The 17,078-nt window shown below is 50.8% G+C and overlaps 1 annotated feature.

Annotated features, from left to right (window-relative positions):
- Positions 16,496–16,675: a silencer, noted in NCBI's record as "silent region_6056". NCBI's record gives its function as "represses an Ori minimal core promoter by ATAC-STARR-seq in GM12878 lymphoblastoid cells {active_cell/tissue: GM12878}" and the evidence as "EXISTENCE:reporter gene assay evidence [ECO:0000049][PMID:35858748]".

The following is a 17,078-nucleotide window of genomic DNA, read 5'->3' on the forward strand; positions in this document are numbered from 1 at the left end:
TCAGGCATTTTCCCTGGAGATTGTCACGGCTGTTGAATAGGTAAAGCAAAGAGCCCAAGCATATCATGTGTGTGTCTCCACAAGCTGGGGACCTACGCTTTGGATTGAAGCCTGAGGAGAAATGTGGGGGAGCCTGGACCTAGGAGGGGTATGGAGAGGGAACCAGGCTGTATAGTGGAGAAAGACTCCCTGGTTTGCCAGGTGAGGGTTGAATCAGGGAGGCTCACAACAATGGCCGGCTTTAGCTTTAAGTGAATACCCCTATCAGAAAGTTAGAAAAAAAACAAACTCGTGTAGTTCAATGGGCATGGTTTTGCCTCCTGTGAGGAGGATGTTCATTCAACAGATATTCGTTGATCCCCTACCATGTACCAGGTGCTGTTACAGTGAGAAGCAAGCAAGGAGAGGGAACTGGGGTTCACTGAGTCCACAGGGTTTAGGCACTTTGGCGCACTCTGAGTGGTGGGCGTCACACTCAGCTGCCGTGACAGCTGCCTGGGGGTAGTTACAGATCAGTGAGACCTGGTAATAAGTTGAACTTGTCTGGTTCTAAAGCCCAAGCTGTTTCCATTTTGGGGCACATTTAACAGTTAAAAAGAGGCCCTAGTTATACATGGGGAACAAAACTGATAATAGCCCCTGTCCTTATGAAAGCTTATAGTTCATAGGAGATACAGATGCCGACAACACAAATGAACTGTAAGTTACTAGTGGGCTCTGAACGGAAATAAGAGTGCTTCTGGAAGGTTAGGAGCACCCTTTCAAACTGGACAAGCTTTGACCTGAAGACTAAGGTGGTGCCGAGTGAGGGAGCAGCATGTTTCTTAAGCAGGAAGGAGCTTGGCAACTGCAGAGGAACAGGAAGGTGCTGGAGTTTTAGAGCTTAGTTGGGTTGAGAGAGATGTAGGTGCCCAGATGTATCACAGTGATAGAATAAGAGGTCCAGAAGTGCTGAGGGAGCATGCAGCTTCCTGGTGGCCTTGGGGAGGATGTGGGAGAGCAGGTGCCATTTGATGGGTAGTTTGGCTGTGATCAGGAAACAGAGCAGAGGAGACAGCATGCTAAGTGGAGTGAAGGGCTTGCACCAGGGCACGGGGCAGGAGAGCATGTCAAGGTCAGAGAACAAAGCAGCCAGCAAAGCTAGTGTGTGACTGGGTGGGGCGGGTGGGGAGCAGTAGGTTAGATGTTACTGCCCTATTGAGAAAGATCTTGAGGCTCAGAGCAGCTCAACATGATTAAGATGTGGTCCAGGTTCTTAGTGGTGGTAGAAGCTAAGTAAAGGAGAACAAAGAGCGCACACACACACAAAGACCCTGGGCTTCCGTCACTTGTGCTTGTACCTGGTCCCATATTCCCATATTGGAGACTTGTACCGTTGCATACTTGCTCTCGCACCTCCCTTCCTTCCAGATCCAGCTTCATGCTGGATAAAAGAAATGTTTACATCCCAAATAGGATGGAGTGGACGGTGCCAGATTTCACACTACCCAGAGGGCTGCACAATTTACTACTTATAAGTTGTTTATTTCTGGCATTTTCCATTGAATATTTTCAGACTGTGGTTGGCTGCAGGTAACTGAAACCACGGAAAGCAGAACCATGGATAAAGGGGATTACTGTACTACAAATTCCAAGGTCCTGATAGAGAAGTCTCTTCATTAGGGAACTAGACCGCTTGCCTTAAAATGCATTTGGCTTGCAAGGCGGGTGCGAGGGAACGATATGTCACAAGCTAGCAGAGGCTGTGGGCAGTGTGCCCTTTACGTTCTGACACGCGTGGGGGCCCACATCTCTGCAGAGTCCTCCCCTTGAAAGCCTTTTAGTCCCTGACATCCATCATTGTGGGGGCTCAGCTTGGCTGAGCTGAATATTTATGAGTCATTATTTAATTAAGCCTTTCATACTTTCATTGATAAATGCAGTCACCCCTTGCCCCATTAGTCCCCACCACCACCTTGCAGCCCACAGCCAACTTCCAGCCCAGGCGCTGCTCCTCATTCTGTTCCTGGCATGCTGTTGACTGCCCTCCAGTGTCTACCACCCACTGGAGAGAAATCAAGGCCGGGATTCCTTTCAGTGCCCCCAGTATGTGGAGGCAAAGAGAGACATTTGCACTGACCATTGGTAGATGCTATAGTTTGACCAAACGGCCCCTATTCCTAGGTGTTTGGCAACTTGTAGCCCAAGTGGAAGACGGGAGAGAACAACCCAACAGGCATCTGGGGAGGTGCCTGTTCTCCTGACGCTGCCTGTCTGTCTGATGGTTCTATTAACAGCCTTCAAGAAGGATGAAGGGGAGGGTACAACAGTGAACAACAAACATCTCAGTCAGGAGAGGAATTTCAAGACGGGGTGGGCCTGGGTGGGAAGAGGAGAAATGAGGACAAAGCTTTGGAAACTTTGCTAGGAAGATGTAATGGGAATGTGGCCCGAGGTGAGGCTCACACACCTGGCCCCTGCGTCGTCAAGAAGCACCGCACAGGAGGTGAGGGTGCTTCTTCCCCACCCGTGGACAACTTGCCTAGCACCTTGGTTTCTGAACTTAAGCCACTTGAGTCCACTTGCAGCAGTACTTGGGGCCCCAGCCTGTCCCTTTCACTGAGAATCTGGGAGTCTGGGCACCTGGGGGTGTGGCAGTCTTCCTGGAGTTGGAGTGCTTTCCCATGGCAGCCTGGCCTGGCATGTCCAGTGACGCACTGCTCCACATGCTGCCCTCTTCTTCCTGGCTATGCTCTGGGTTAGGCGCCAGAGGGAGCGGGCATCTCTTCCCTGGAACCTGGAGCAGCAGGTAGGAAGGGAGGATGTGAACCGTGTACGGCAAGCTTGTTTATTCATTCAGCAGCACCTCCTGAGCCCCAAGTGCCTGGCATGAGTTCTGGGTGTGTCAATGAGTTAGCCGAAGCCTGTCCCCTCTTCCACTTGCCACGACGTGCTCTTCTGTGTGCGTGGAAGTTCTTGCCCCAGCATCTCACTGCTCACCTCCTGTTGTACTCAGCTGGGTTTCACTCATCCCACAGGATATACCTTAGATATCATCATCTCTGAGAAGTCTTCTGATCCCTTAGGCTGGGTTAGATCTCCACTCCCAAAGCACTCTGTAGCTAAATCTCTTAGCACTTACCATATTGTGGTATTGCCCGAGTTGGGAGCAGCTCTTGCAAAGCTGAGGCCGTGTCTTGATGCATGTCTGTAGCCACAGTGCATGATGTGTAATAGCTGCTTGTCAGTGTCTGTGGAAATTCAGTGAATGAAGGACTTGACCAAGTTCTTCCCGAGGAGCTCCCAGTGTACCAGTGGAATATGAGCTCATGTGTATTAAGACTTCATGGTCTAAAGATTGTGCTAAATGCCTTACGTGGACTATCTCACTGAATCCTCCCAACAATCCTTTGAAGCACGTATTACAGTTCCCATTTTCCAGATGTTGAAACCGAGGCACAGAGAAATACTTGTCCAACGACCCATGGTGCCAATTGCAATGATGGGAATGTTTAAGGGTGATGGGACAGAGAAGAGGGGCACCTGACTGTGTGCTACGCACTGTTTGGTACTATGCACACCTCTCATCTAGTACCCAAAACAGCCCTGCAGGACTGCTTTTGTTACCTGGAACCTAAGAATTCAGAGAAAGTCAGTGACTTGTCCAAGGCCACCAGCTGGGAAGCAGTGGAGCCAAGATTCAAACCCTATGTTCTTAGGCAGACAGACCCCAAAGAGAGGACTCTCGGGTATCATAGCTTGAACGCTAAGGGGGCCCCTCGAGGCAGGAGCTGTGTCTGCCTGTGCTCTCTCCCACTTTACTGGAAAGGGGCTCTGACATGAGAATTCTGTTTTATTTTTGAGACAAGGTCTTGCTCTGGCACCCAGGCTGGAGTGTAGTGGTGCAATCACAGCTCACTGCAGCCTTGACCTCCCGGGCTCAAGTGATCCTCCTACCTCAGCCTCCAGAGTAGCTGGAACCACGGTGCACGGCACCACAGGCCCAGCTAATTTTAAATTTTTTCTTTTGTAGAGACAGGGTCTCTCTTTGTTTCCCAAGCTGGTCTCAAACTTCTGGGACCAAGTGATCCTTCTGCCTTGGCCTCCCAGTGTTGGGGTTATAGGTGTGAGACACCACACCTGGCCTGACATGACAGTCCTGACTGTCATTTGCTGAATAAACCATGATAGGGAGCCCAGCTAATTGGGATGCACTAGTAACTGGACAGTCCTCTCAGATCTCAGGGGCCACTGTCAAAGCCCTTTTCCTGGATTAAGACTCATGGCTGGTTACCCTGAGTCTTCCAGTCTACCACCTCTCTGGCTATGGCAGGTTTTGCAGAATAAAGTGACTGAGGCTTAACAAGTTTGTGAGTGTGGCCAAAGCCAGTGTAGCATAGGACTGGACCAGTGCTGGTGAAGGAAATTAAGCTGTAACTTGTGGGATTTCAAGAAACCAATCTTGGTCTGTAAGTCGTTTTTATAAAAATGAATATGCGATCACTGCCCTAACTCTCGTTTCTTTAAACGGATGCCAAGAGCATTCAAGGGAGAGCAATGCCAAATTTACATTCAGCTTTAACAGTTTGTCCTTCCGAGGAGCACAGGCTGACTTTAGAGTAATTCCTGTGATCATCACAAATGGAGTTGGCATTAAAAAGGGTGAAGGGAAGACTCAGGAAGGAGGACAGACACTCCGTGCTACACGCGAAAGCTTGTTTATCTGGAAGCCTGGCTTGCAGTTCCTGCATCCCTCTGGAACCCAGCCCTGAATCTCTGAACCGAGCAGTAAGTAGAAAAGGCTTCTAGGCTCTGGGAAGAAATGTCACACAGCCCATGCACCAAGGTCACGCCCTGTCCTCTAGGTGCACAGCAAAGGTCTTCGTGGCTGTCTCCTGTGTCATTTGTGGTTAACACTCGACTTATGTGCCGGTTTTCACAACTCACAGCAGATTATCCTAGAGGCCTGTAACTTCAGCTAGCTTCAAGTATAGCAGGTATGACACTAAATGTCATCACATACCTGATCGTTTTTACTCCTCACAGAAAACAGGCCTTGTAAACTGTATTTCACAGATGAGGAAACTAGTTCCCTTAAGAGGTGTCTAGCTTGTAGGCTGCATGTGTCTAGTATAGATAACTGCTGTGCCGACGATTTGCTAATTGCTGTGGGGGGATGGGCACGGGAGAGCTTTTTGGCCTCAGTGGACGTTTTAAGAGATGCACACTTAGAACCACTGGAGCTGTGTCCAGCTAGAGAAACTGTATCCATCGCTACAGACTGGTGAGGTTTTGCACATTTCTCCCAGAAAACCCGAAGGAAGGGGGTTTGGAGAGAGGAGCCAGGAGTGGGGCTCAGAGCAGAGCCGAAAGGAAAGCGCAGGGTGGGATGTGGCTCTGAGCTCTTCCACCCGCCCCGGGGACCTCTGAGATAATACCAACTGCACCCAGTTCCCTAGCCCACACCTGGCAGGTAGCACGTTCACTTCATGACCTTCTTGAATGCGCAGTGCCCCATTCTTTTGAGTTCTTATTACATGTCAAAGGCAAGGACCGTGGCTTCTCTTTTTGTCCACGCGGTACTCACATGGTCTTGATAGGACTGACCTTCTGAGGATCTCCTTGATCTTTCTTTACCTATATAAACAAAAATTAAATTTAAACACAGCTGTATTCGCATATGAACAAAAAACTACCATTAGGTGTTTGTCTCTCAGCAAATTATTTCTCCTCTCTAGGCCTCAGTTTTTTCATCAATAAAATGAGACCATTAGACCGAGGAGGAACTTCTGGCTCCAAAACCCTTTGGGTTCTAAGTCTTCTCTTTGAGAATGTTCTCCACTCCCCCAAACTGATTTGACATAATTTGGTCTCTCCTCCCATTCCAATGGCCTCTTTCCTGCCTAGTCCTTGCCTACCAGCCACGCCCCCTCTGGCATGCCCCACCCACCTTTCTCTGTTTGCTGCTCTGGAAGAGAAGGATCCTGGCTTCTCAGAGCCCTGGTGAATACAGATACTGCCTCGTTTGCATATTAACACTGGTGCCAGTCTGAGCCCAGCTGTGTGCAACGTAAGGTGAAATATAGATTCCCCCAACCTGGCCACAGTGTCTCCACGCGGCTAATGGAAAAGCCTTCGGAGTGGGCCCATGTTGCATATGCATAAGCTTTCCTTTGGCCGTGGATGGGCATTGGGTGCTCTTACTCCCATTTCAACTGTGTCTCTGTGCTTCTTTGGGTTTCCTTCAAGATTAACAGGCCATCTGGGCTAAACAGCTATTTGAAGTGACTTGGCCAGGCCCTGGGCTGGCCTCTTGGGAACTCTGGGACTTGAGTGTTGAACCCGAGCCCCGCCCTCCTGCTCACCCACTCAGCATGGCAGCAGCAGCTTTTATGTATCAGCAGCGACCTAGAACTAGGCCAAGCATCCCCTTCACCTCCTGCAGGATGAAGGTCAGGCTCCTCACACGGTGTCGGAGGTCCTGCTTCCCCTGCCCCTGGGCCCTCTGTTACACCCATCATCCCGTGTCCAGACTTACCACAGCTCCTGAGCAGGCCTGGTGTTCTCCTGCCTGCCAAGCCTTCGCACCTGCTGCTTCTTCTGCCCTTTGGGCGTTCCTGGGGGTGGGGGGTGCAGAGAGGAGGATCTAGGGCTCCCCTCTGTGTTCCTGCAGCCCAGTGTGTCTGCCTCTGGCACACACCTGCACTTGGAACTCACATCTGTCCCTGCTGGACCCTGGGTCCTCCCTGGGACTCTGGCCTCGCACCTGCACACAGTGGATGCCACCAAGCGAGGAAGGCTCAGGGCCAAAGCGTTTTAACCCCTTTACCGAGAACCTGAGTTGTAAGAACTTGCTGAATCTTGCTACATACAGATGCGGCACCTTAATGGAAATGGCTAAACAGAGAGAGGTTTTGCTGGTGAAGGTTTTTGTTGCTATTGCTGCTCCTGCCACTGAAGGCTTTCTCAGGAGGAAGCCCCTCAAACCACCCCCTCACCCTGGGAAATAGGAAGGTGGGCTGCCTGTCTGTGTGGCCAGCTCAGTCACTGGGGGGCGGTGAGCACAGTGGCCGGATGCCACTGCAGCCTCCCCACCTTCTCCCTGCCCTCCATCTGCCCCTGCCAGGTCTTCCAGGCACCCACTCTCTCCTTCCACTCCTCGATCGGGGTAGCTGGAAGAGCAGAGGGGCTAAATTGAGTTTATATAGCTTTCCCTGTATATATTTAGAGATAAGAAGTTCATTTAGGGATCAGGGGCTGCTGCTTCTCTATGCATCATTAAGCACACCACATCTGCTACTGAGCTAGCAATCAGCAGAATATTGAGAAAAGTTATAAAGAAATCTTTGCATCGGTTCATTTTCATTCTCAACTCCCTGTGTCCTGGCTCTCAGATTTCTGTGAGCGAGTGCAGGGGAGGAAATGGAGCCGCGGCTGTTGGGGCCATGCTTTGGGAGCTGGGGCTGGATTCAGATAATTCATCTTGGACCTGCTGTCTTTTCTCGGTGTGTGTGCCTATGTGCGTGTGTGTGTGCAAGCATGTGAGTGTGTGTTGGGGGAGGGCGGGTGGTGGTGTTGAGGAGATGGTCTATGGAAAGCTGTGCATGCATTGTCCCATGGTGGCCACGCCAGGAAGGGCATGTCGCCTGATCAAGTCCTGAGCATGTCGCCATGGCAGTCCTGAGCACTGTCCTGCAGGTAGGCTGAGGCTGCAGACCAGACTTAGGTGCCATCTCCCTAGATGACCTTGACCAAGCCACCTCCCTTCTGTGGTCCTCAGTCTTCCGGGCTGTAAAGTGAGGGCACTGGGCCAGGTGGTCGCGCCTTGCTGAGAGGAGCAGGGGGAAGGTGAGCTAGTGCAGCACAGAGCTGGCTCTCAGTAAAACCTGTTTGGATGCTGCCACTGTGGCGACTGGTGTTCTCTGGTCCCTGCTGCCTCCCCACCCAGCAAGTTCCCATGGCCTTGGCTTTCTTAGGTTGGTGGCTGAGTGGGGAGAGTCACAGGCACAGGTGCTGGGTTCTGGAGTCTCGGGGCTAGAAACTGTTGCCTTGTGGCCTCCTCCCAGAACAGCAGGTGGGTCTGCCCTCTCTCTAGCTCCTATACCAGGCCCAGAGAACTCAGTCTCCTCAGCCTCTCCCTGGGGACCCCTGGCAAGGGCATTGGTGGCCAGGTGGCCCAAGGTCCCTCAGCCCCCTCCCAGGGCAGTTGTCCCGCAGAGTGACATGTGGCAGGTTAAACTGCAGGTGTCACTGTTAGCCCTGAAATGGGGGCTTGGTTGGGCCGGCCTGTGGGCAGCCGCAAAGGAATCTTCCTGGCTTAGCGGCTTGGCCGGCTGAGGGAGCCCCGGAGCGGGCGCAGCACTCCCTGCTCTTATGCTTTGCCTCCCTGGCTGTGTGGACATTGCCCACCCTTAGCTAAAGCAAGGACGATACTAACTGACCACAGCCTGGCCCCAAGAAAGCACCATTTTCACAAGGCACGCAAATGGCTCTCTGAACACCTGTAATTAGAAGGAATGCTCAAAACCCGGACATTTGTGGGATCAGCATTTAACCTCGGCCAACCCCTCAGGAAGGAGGGGCGCAGGGAGGCTGAGTGCAGCCACGTCCATGCAGTCAGTGTGGCCAGCCTGGGGGGCCTGTGAGGACTGAGGGAGGGTGGGGACCCCTGGGTAGAAGAGGCCAAGAGCTTTGTGCTCTATTGAGGAAGCTGCAGAGGAGGAGAGACCCAAATCAACATGGGGTGTTCATGCTCTGTTCCTTGTACCTCGAATGGTGGCACTCTTGCCCTCTAGACATTGCTAAGGACTTAGAGGTTCAGGAGTCACAGGCAAAAAAGGCCCCTTTTTAAAGTGTTTTTAAAAGTGACCGGTGGGGTGCTGTTTTTCCGGGAAATTGAACTGCATAAACCACAGCCACTGACCGGGAAACGCCTGCCACCACCAAATTGCCCCCGGGAACTTGGGGCACAGCGTCCCAGCCCTGGGCCAGGCAGGTTCCTATAGCCGCCAAGTGGATTACACACCCTGGCTTCACTTCAGTGGGCTTGTTGACCCTCAACGTACTCTCCCCATGTTGTTTTACTCCCCTTTTTAAAAATTCTGCATTTCATTCTGGACCAAGAAAGCCCTTGGACTTGAGAGAAAACTAGTATCTGCTCGAAGCAGGTTTGGAGGGGTCTCCGTCTCTCTGGGAGCTGCAGTTCCCGCCCCAGGCCCAGCGGCTGCAGGAGTGGGGGCTGCTGGGCTTTCTGGGCTTCCGTATCTTAATTTCTGTTTAAAGAGAACGTAGAAAGAAGGGTGTGTGTATCTGTGTGTTGGTGGGGAGAGAGGGCATAGAATATTTTCAGGTCTTAAAAAGAAGAAGAAAAAAATAAATTTTTGAATAAGAATGGTCCATGTACTGTGACCGCAGGGCAAATGCAAATGTCTGTTTTCAAACACAGACTCGTGAATTCTTATTAGGAGTTCGTGACTGCGCCTCCAAGCAGGACATTACATATTCATCAGTGTGAGCAACCAGGCTGCCCACTTCAGGTGTGGCCTTCGCAACACCCGTGTCCCTTTAATCTTGGGGGAAGAAGGAGAAGGAGAAGAAAACCATGACCAGCCACATTTGGTCTGTTTTCTTCAGTTGCTAAAGTGTTAAGGGAATAGGAGATAAAAAGATGCATGCAGAAAAAGCAGCAGCCGCAGCGATACTCCACAAAGATCTTTTTAGTGTCAACTTAAATGTACACAAATAGCGGATGATGATCTCTTTTATTGGACTAACATTTATCCAGTAATATCCACACACTTTTAAAACCATTGAGGCCTCCTCTTCAGGTGTTCATTTGAATAGAAATAGCTGAATGAGTGTTTTTATAATTGATCCCCTGAGAACTGAATGTCTAGTGCTGCATAACCAACATTTTCCCATTGCTGGGTTTTTTTTCCCCCAAATTGCCACTCTGCAAAATTAGGATTTTGTACAGTTTTGATAAGAGAATTAACCTCCCACGTGCCAAACTCCCTGAGTATGAGGGACTCCCAAGGAATCGGATTGTGCGAGGTCAGCTTTGACACCAGATATTTTACGGGGGCTTTGCTGCTGCTCAGTCTGAGAGAGGGAACCGCAGAGATCTGGTGGGAGGTAGACTTGATGGAGGCAGAGGGAGAGGAGGAGGCTGTTGCACACCCTGAAAGGTTCCTGGACCCCAGAATCTTGCGCTTCTGACTTTTCCTTCTGCACTTGCCAGAAACACCCGGACGCTCACTCTGGCTCAATGTGGCGTCTGTGGGTGCTTGGAGCCCTGGACCTTGATGGAAACGTGAAAGATTTTCCTTTCCTCTCCCTCGAAGTGTTTCCCCCAGGGCTGCCAAGTATGTCCTCAGAGTCTTCACTCTAGTTCTTAAGTTACAATCATAATATATGCTTATTGTAGAAAACTTGAAAAATGTGCAGAAGTATAAAGTCGACAATAAATATTACCCCAAATTCCACCACCCAAACACTGTGGTGTTTCCTTCCAGTCTTATTTTATGTGTGTGCATATTAAAAAAAATATATGTATATGATCATACTGCATACATAGAGTTTTGTAACCTGTATTTTTTTCTTTCATTTAATAGTAATATACAAAGCATCTCCCGTGTCTTTAAGCATCATCTGTCAGCATCAATTTAGCGGCTGTGCACACAGCTATCAAATGGCTGTAGTTGAATGAACTTAATTACCCTCTATTGATGGACAGTTGGGTGGGGAGCTTTCTTTTTTGACTGTGTAAAAAGGAAACGTCAGTCTCTGGCCATTTTGTGGGAGACTTATTTAAACCAGGGTAAGACAGTTATTTAGGAAACAGTTTTCCCTTCATGGCCTAGAAGTGAAGGAAAGAGCAGTTTTTTGCAGCAGAAACTGACCAACGTGTCTTCAGTAAGACAAGCCACAGGGCTCAGGGCCAGGGGGAAGCTGGAGCAGCCGGTCTGGCTCCCCTGTCACTCCTAGTTCACGCTGATCCCAGCTCTGAGTCCTGGTGTCAAGGAGGCTGCTTTCAGCTCCAGACAACAGAAACGCTGCTTAACCCGCTGCAAAAGCGAGTACGGGGACTGCATTACCTGATGGGCTTTCCTGAGGTGATGCCACCACCACGAGAGGCCCTGGCTCCTTGGCTCCCTGGCCACCTTCAGCTCCTCCGCATGGCTGCAGCCTGGCTGCCCGCCTCAGTCCCGCGTGCCACCCAGACTCAAGGCAGTCCAAAGGTGGAAATTGGACTCTTTCTTCAAATGGGATTTTTTATAATTTTAATTTTTAATGAGCAAGCAAAATATTGTCCAGAAGCCCAGGCCTTTCCTTCCTCCAACTCCCCGCCCCTGTCGTGGACTAGAATGGGGACACACGCCATGCCCACGCATAAGGCAGGCACTCCCTGGCAAGGAGAGTGAAATCCGTGCCCTCCTGACACTATACTTCGGGTACCTGGGATGTGCCCTCCTGCCCTTCTGAGCTTGGAATCCGGAAGCCCCAGCATCCCGCCTTCTCTAGGCTCTTCTTGGCAGTGGGCATTGACCCCTCTAAGCTGCTGGCTCACCCAGACCCCGAGGCAGCCCACATTAGGGACCAGAATGTTAATTGTCCCAGCCCTATCAGCTGGTGGGGGGACCTGGGGCTGTGATCCAGTGTGAGACTTGAGCCAGCCTCAGTGGTGGTCTTCCAGATCCCACTGAGTGTCCCCAGAGCTTTGGTGACAGCCCTGCTTGGCTGGGTCCTGATAGCAACCTCTGTCGTCTGCTCCCCTGCCATGTTGCCTGCCCTCTCAGTTCTACCCCTGCTACTTCTGAAAATGGCATGTTAATTTTCCCATGGAGAACCCCTCGTCTATAGGCAGCTCATTTGGATAGAGCCCCCACCTTGCGCCTAGTGCCATAGGTGGCCCAGAATGTTGCATGCCCAATCACAGTACCACATGCCTACACCAATCTGATTGGTTGCTGCGGGGTGGGCATGTGATCCAAAACTAGTCCAGTAAGAGTTGCCCTCAGGATGTCTCCTGGGCTTCATGGGATCTTAAGATGAGCTGGTGGGCGCCATCTTACCACCACAGGGAAGCGTCTGCCTGAGAACCAACACAGAGGAAAGCAGAGTTAGAAGACAGAGAGCCCAGGTCCTGAGGATGTCAGTTGAACCACTGGATCCAGCCATGCCTGAAGCAATTTACCTCTGAAATGATCATTTATGGAAGCCAACAATTTTCCTTTGCACATGGACCAGTTTGAGTTGGGTTTTTGTTGCAACTCAAAAGAGACCTGACTGAAATACCTATTCAATAGGCTACTCTTCCAAAACCAGAATCCCTTTGTCATGCCTATAACCACCAACACTGTCCACATACTCCAGCCATTGTGCCCGTTATGCCAGGTTGGATCCACCCCCCGTGCTGTCCTTCTATTTCTGATGTCAAGGCAGGTCAGGCCCCAATGACCCTGACTTTGCCGCTTTCTTTGGGTGCCGAAGGCTGAACAGCTGGCCACTCCTCCTGGAGCCACTTCCTGCAGTCCACAGAGCTTCTGTGCAGAGCTGTTTCCTGAATGCCCAATGAATGGATCTGGTGACCTCTTTTGAGAAGTCAGGCAGAAACAGGAACGGTATCTTCCCCTCCCTCTCTGCATCGACACCTCCATTTTGCCCAGGCGTTCACAATTCCAGGGGTAGTTTCCTGATAATTCAGCTGAAAATTTCCCCGGCTCAGTTCTGTTTCCCTGAGTTGCCCCCCTGGGCTTTTCTCTAACAACTCGGCTCCTTCCTGAGGCCGTGAATGGGGCGCATCTCTGCCCACGTCACTGTTCAGCCAAGGTCGGCACATTTCCTGTGTTCATTCTTCTTCATAAATCACATCTCCAGCCTGCTAATCGCCGTGGACGCATTTCGAGGGATGCTTTGCAATTTTCACTGGCTCTGGTGTTGAGAGGTCCCCTGGCTGCTTCTAGGCAAGCCAAGGGCTTTCCCTCTAAAAAGCCGTGTGTCCCACATCCAAGTGCATACGCGGGTTGAGAGGGAAGGAAGTGGATGAAGCAGGCCTGGAGGAAGATGCTGAGGGCCCGGGACCTGCCCCCGGGAGGCAGCTACTTCTCAGGCCAGCCAGCTGTCTCCATGTGGGAACCAGGCCCAGCATTTGCAGAGGTTATAATTTCTCAAGGGAAGCTGCAAATCTGTGCTTTTATGTGTAATTTCCCACTTAACAAAAAATGCCAGCAACAAAATAAAAATTGAAACGCCGTGGAGACCAAAATGGTCTCTCACACCACCAGACTGTGACTTCTGTCCTGGTAGATTAATAAAGTGACAGGGTGTTAGGCCACTTAGAGCAGGGTGGCCTAGCGAACAAACACAAGGCTGGGAACCAGAACCCATAGGCCTGGATCTGGTCCTAGCCTGGACACTGCGTGATCTTGGGCAAATAAAGAACTGAGTCTCTAAAAATTCCTGTTGTCCACAGTCATCTTCTTAACCCTTACAAGAATCTCATAAGGTGGAGCTCATTATTCCTATCTTGCAGAAGTGAAAACCCAGCTCAGAAGGCAGCTGCAAGAGGGCTGTTGGTTCCCACAGGCCAGCTTGCAGCTCTGTTTCTGGGGTGTTGGGGAGACTACTGTCTGGGCGAGCAAGAGCTGGATCTGTCTTCAGCAGCTTGAGCCGGTTGCAGAGTCCAGCATTCTTCAGGGTCACAGGTGGCTTTTCCTCCTCTGGATCTGAGATTTTCTCTCTGCTTTCCCTGCCCTCCCCTCTCTATGCTCAGCATATTTTATTTCTGTAGCTCCATATTCTTGCCATGTCGCTGGTTCTGGGTGATGTTTCAAACACTGTTGGCACTGGGTTAGAAATGTCATTATCTAACTCAGAAAAGCTCCAAGAGGAATGTTGTGTATACGCATCTTCTCCCCATGAGCTTGTCTCTGCCTTGTGATGAGAACTATGAGGGCGTAGTCTTTGTTGCTTTCCAATCTTCGATGCTCTTTCCTTCACCTAAGACGCTGCTTTCTGAAAAGAGAGAGATTCCAGAGCTCAGCCATTTAGATCCATGAGTTCTCGGCACTGGTTCTTCTTCCATTTTTGTTTTGATAATAGTGCTTAGTAGTGATAACAGTGATACACTGGAGTGGCCCCTTGCTTGCCCAAGGCCGCAGGCTCTGAGGAGATCGCCACAATTTGTAAGAAGCTTTGAGCTTTTATACTGTTGCATAAAACAGAAAAGGGCAAGCTGTGTGTATGCTCCCATTTTACAGATGGGAAAACAGAGGTCATGCCTGGTTAAATAACTTGCTCAGTAAACCCACCTAGCCAAGTAATAAGTAAAACTCATTTGGCCCAAATGTTTGATCTTAAGGTCTACAGTAGTGGCCTCCCCCTCCCCCGCTTAACCTCGCCCCCACTTGCCTTCGTTGGGGCATATTCACTCATTTGGGTTCAGAAGCAGAACTGACATTCTCCTAGACATTGTCATCTGGTGCTTGCTCTTTGTTCTGTCTCTGCATGGTCTCTTCTTTGGGAAAGGTCCTCCAACTACTGAAATATGAAACCAGGAGTGGGCCAGGGGAGGGGAGACGCGTGTCTTGTGCTAGGGCTGGATCTGACTCGCTGTGAGACTTTGGGAGTTTTTCCTCACTCTGGGCTTTGGTTCTTTCTTCTCCAAAGGGTGTGGGGGAAAGGAGAAGGGCTAGCCCGGGCTCCAGGAGGCAAATTGGTCACATATAGGCAATTGGTTCACAGCTACATTTGAATTGGTTGCCAACCTTTAGAAACCAGGAAATGTCAGGTCAAGAGCTAGCTCACCACCTTTCTTGAAGAAGAATATGTGGCCCCTTCACACCATTAGGCTGGAGGGAACATTTCCACTTGTCACCGTCCCTACCTGTCACTCCTCTCAGTGACACTGCCTGCCTGGCCCTGCAGGCCCTGGGTGTGGGACTCCTAGCTCAGTGGCTTTCAAGGACCCAGCATCCAGTCCCAGGGGTCTCATTCCCTCTGAGGTGGGCACCCCTATAATCCTCATTTTCAGATGAGGAAACAGAGTCACTTGCAGTTTGAGTGACTTGCCAAAGGTCACACAGCTGGTCAGCAGCAGAGACAAGACTCCCCCTAGGCTTGTAGACTGTGGGGTCGGTTCTCAGTTGCTGGAAAACAGATCTTGGGATTGAGTTCTTCCAGCAACACAGGTGTGCTTCAGCTTAAGAAGTTTTGAGAAAACTTGATTTATTTTTATTGTTATTATGGAAACTTTAAACATGTGCTAAGAGTAGACAGACTCATGTGATGAACTCATGTGCTCATCACCCATTTCCAACAATTTTTATGGCCAGTTTTGCTTAATCTGTGCACCCGCACCCCATTATTTAAAAACAAATGGGCACCAGACATCGTATCCTTTCATTTGGGAAGATTGTAGTGTGTCTCTCTAAAGGGAGAGGGTTCTTTTTCAAAGTATAACTGTAATATTACTGTATTGTCACACTCTCCCCAATAATAGAAAATCCTTAATTATGCAGGGCAATTTCAGTGTGAACTTACACCGCTGATATGTCTAGAAAGGATGGCCATCATGCTTGCTTTCAGAACGAGCCAGCAGCACCCCAGCTTTGGAATCTGAAGACTTGGGTTTCAGTCTTGGCTTCCTTATTTTATTTTTATTTTATTTTATTTTATTTTATTTTATTTTATTTTATTTATTTTATTTATTTTAATTTTTTGGAGACCGAGTCTCACTCTGTCTCTCAGGCTGGAGCGCAGTGGCGCGATCCCAGGTCACTGCAATCTCTGCTTCCTGGGTTCAAGCAATTCTTCTGCCTCAGCCTCCCGAGTAGCAGGGATTACAGGCGCCCGCTACCACACCCCGCTAATTTTGTATATTTAGTAGAGACGGGGTTTCACCATGTTGGCCAGGCTGATCTCGAACTCCCTACCTCTGGTGATCCACCCGCCTTGGCCTCCCAAAGTGCTGGGATTACAGTCGTGAGCTACCGCGCCTGGCCAGCTTCCTTACTTTCTAGCTGTGGGACCTCAGGCTGGCCACTAGATCTCTGAGCCTCAGTTTCCTTATCTGGAAAATGGGAAGAATCCTAAAATTTATCCATCTCAAAAGGCTCATGTGACAGTCAAGTGAGAAGGCGTACATGCAAGGTATCCTGTCAAATTACACAAAGTCGTGATTTTAATGGAGGAAAGCAACATAAGTACTGGGTGGTGGAGAAATACTTTTGGGTCTCATCTTGCTGAGACTAGGTAGGAAGCAGAATAAGAATAGCCCTTCCTAGGCGCCCACCGGAATGCTCAGCGCTGCCGCACAGAGAGTCCGCATCCGTGCCTGCCACCGGCCTAAGTTATACCCGGAGCTACGACGACTTATGAGATGGGCGACTCTAGGACCCTCATTTTCCAGACGAGAAAACGGAGGCACCTGCAGGTTCAGTGACTTGCCCAAGGTCACGCACCTGGTCAGCGGCAGAGACAGGACTCCCCCCGCCCGGGCCCGCGGATTGCCGGGTCGGTTCTCAGTCACCGCACAGGTGCCCTGGAGAGTGCGACCACCCCCTGCCCTCCGCCCCGCGCCGGCCCTCGGCTCAGTGCCCCGCCCTTCCTGGAGCACGGCCTGCGCATGCGCGCGCCCCAGGGCCCAGCCCTGTTCCTGCTCCGGCTCCTGCGGGGATGGATGCTTCACGCAGTAAGCGAGTAAGCGAGCCCTGGAGACCGGGGCCCTGGGTGTGCGGTCGGCTCAGTGCCACGCGGTGAGATAGGCATGGTTATCAACCCACGCCAAGGCGGTTGTGTACCTGGCATAGAAAACACTGCTGTTGAATGTTGTTTCCATAGTCATTCGCCAGCGTCCACTGATGAGAGGTGCCACCACGGACACCCGGCCTTGCTCCGTCGAAGCTTTGGTCCATTAGGACCAAAGTCAGGCCCCAGCGGGCCTCCCTGCCATTCCTGGACGGCCTCGCGTCCTCCCAGAGCCTGACCTTCTCTTATCTCTGCAGCCTAAGTCGCGGAAGCGTAGACACCCGGCTTTTCCCGCGTGCTCTATCGGGCTCCCCTGGACACGGAGGGTGGAGCAGAAAGAGCAGAGGGGC

This window comes from Homo sapiens, chromosome 14 (assembly GCF_000001405.40).
Source record: "Homo sapiens chromosome 14, GRCh38.p14 Primary Assembly".
NCBI classification, from domain to species: Eukaryota; Metazoa; Chordata; class Mammalia; order Primates; family Hominidae; genus Homo; species Homo sapiens.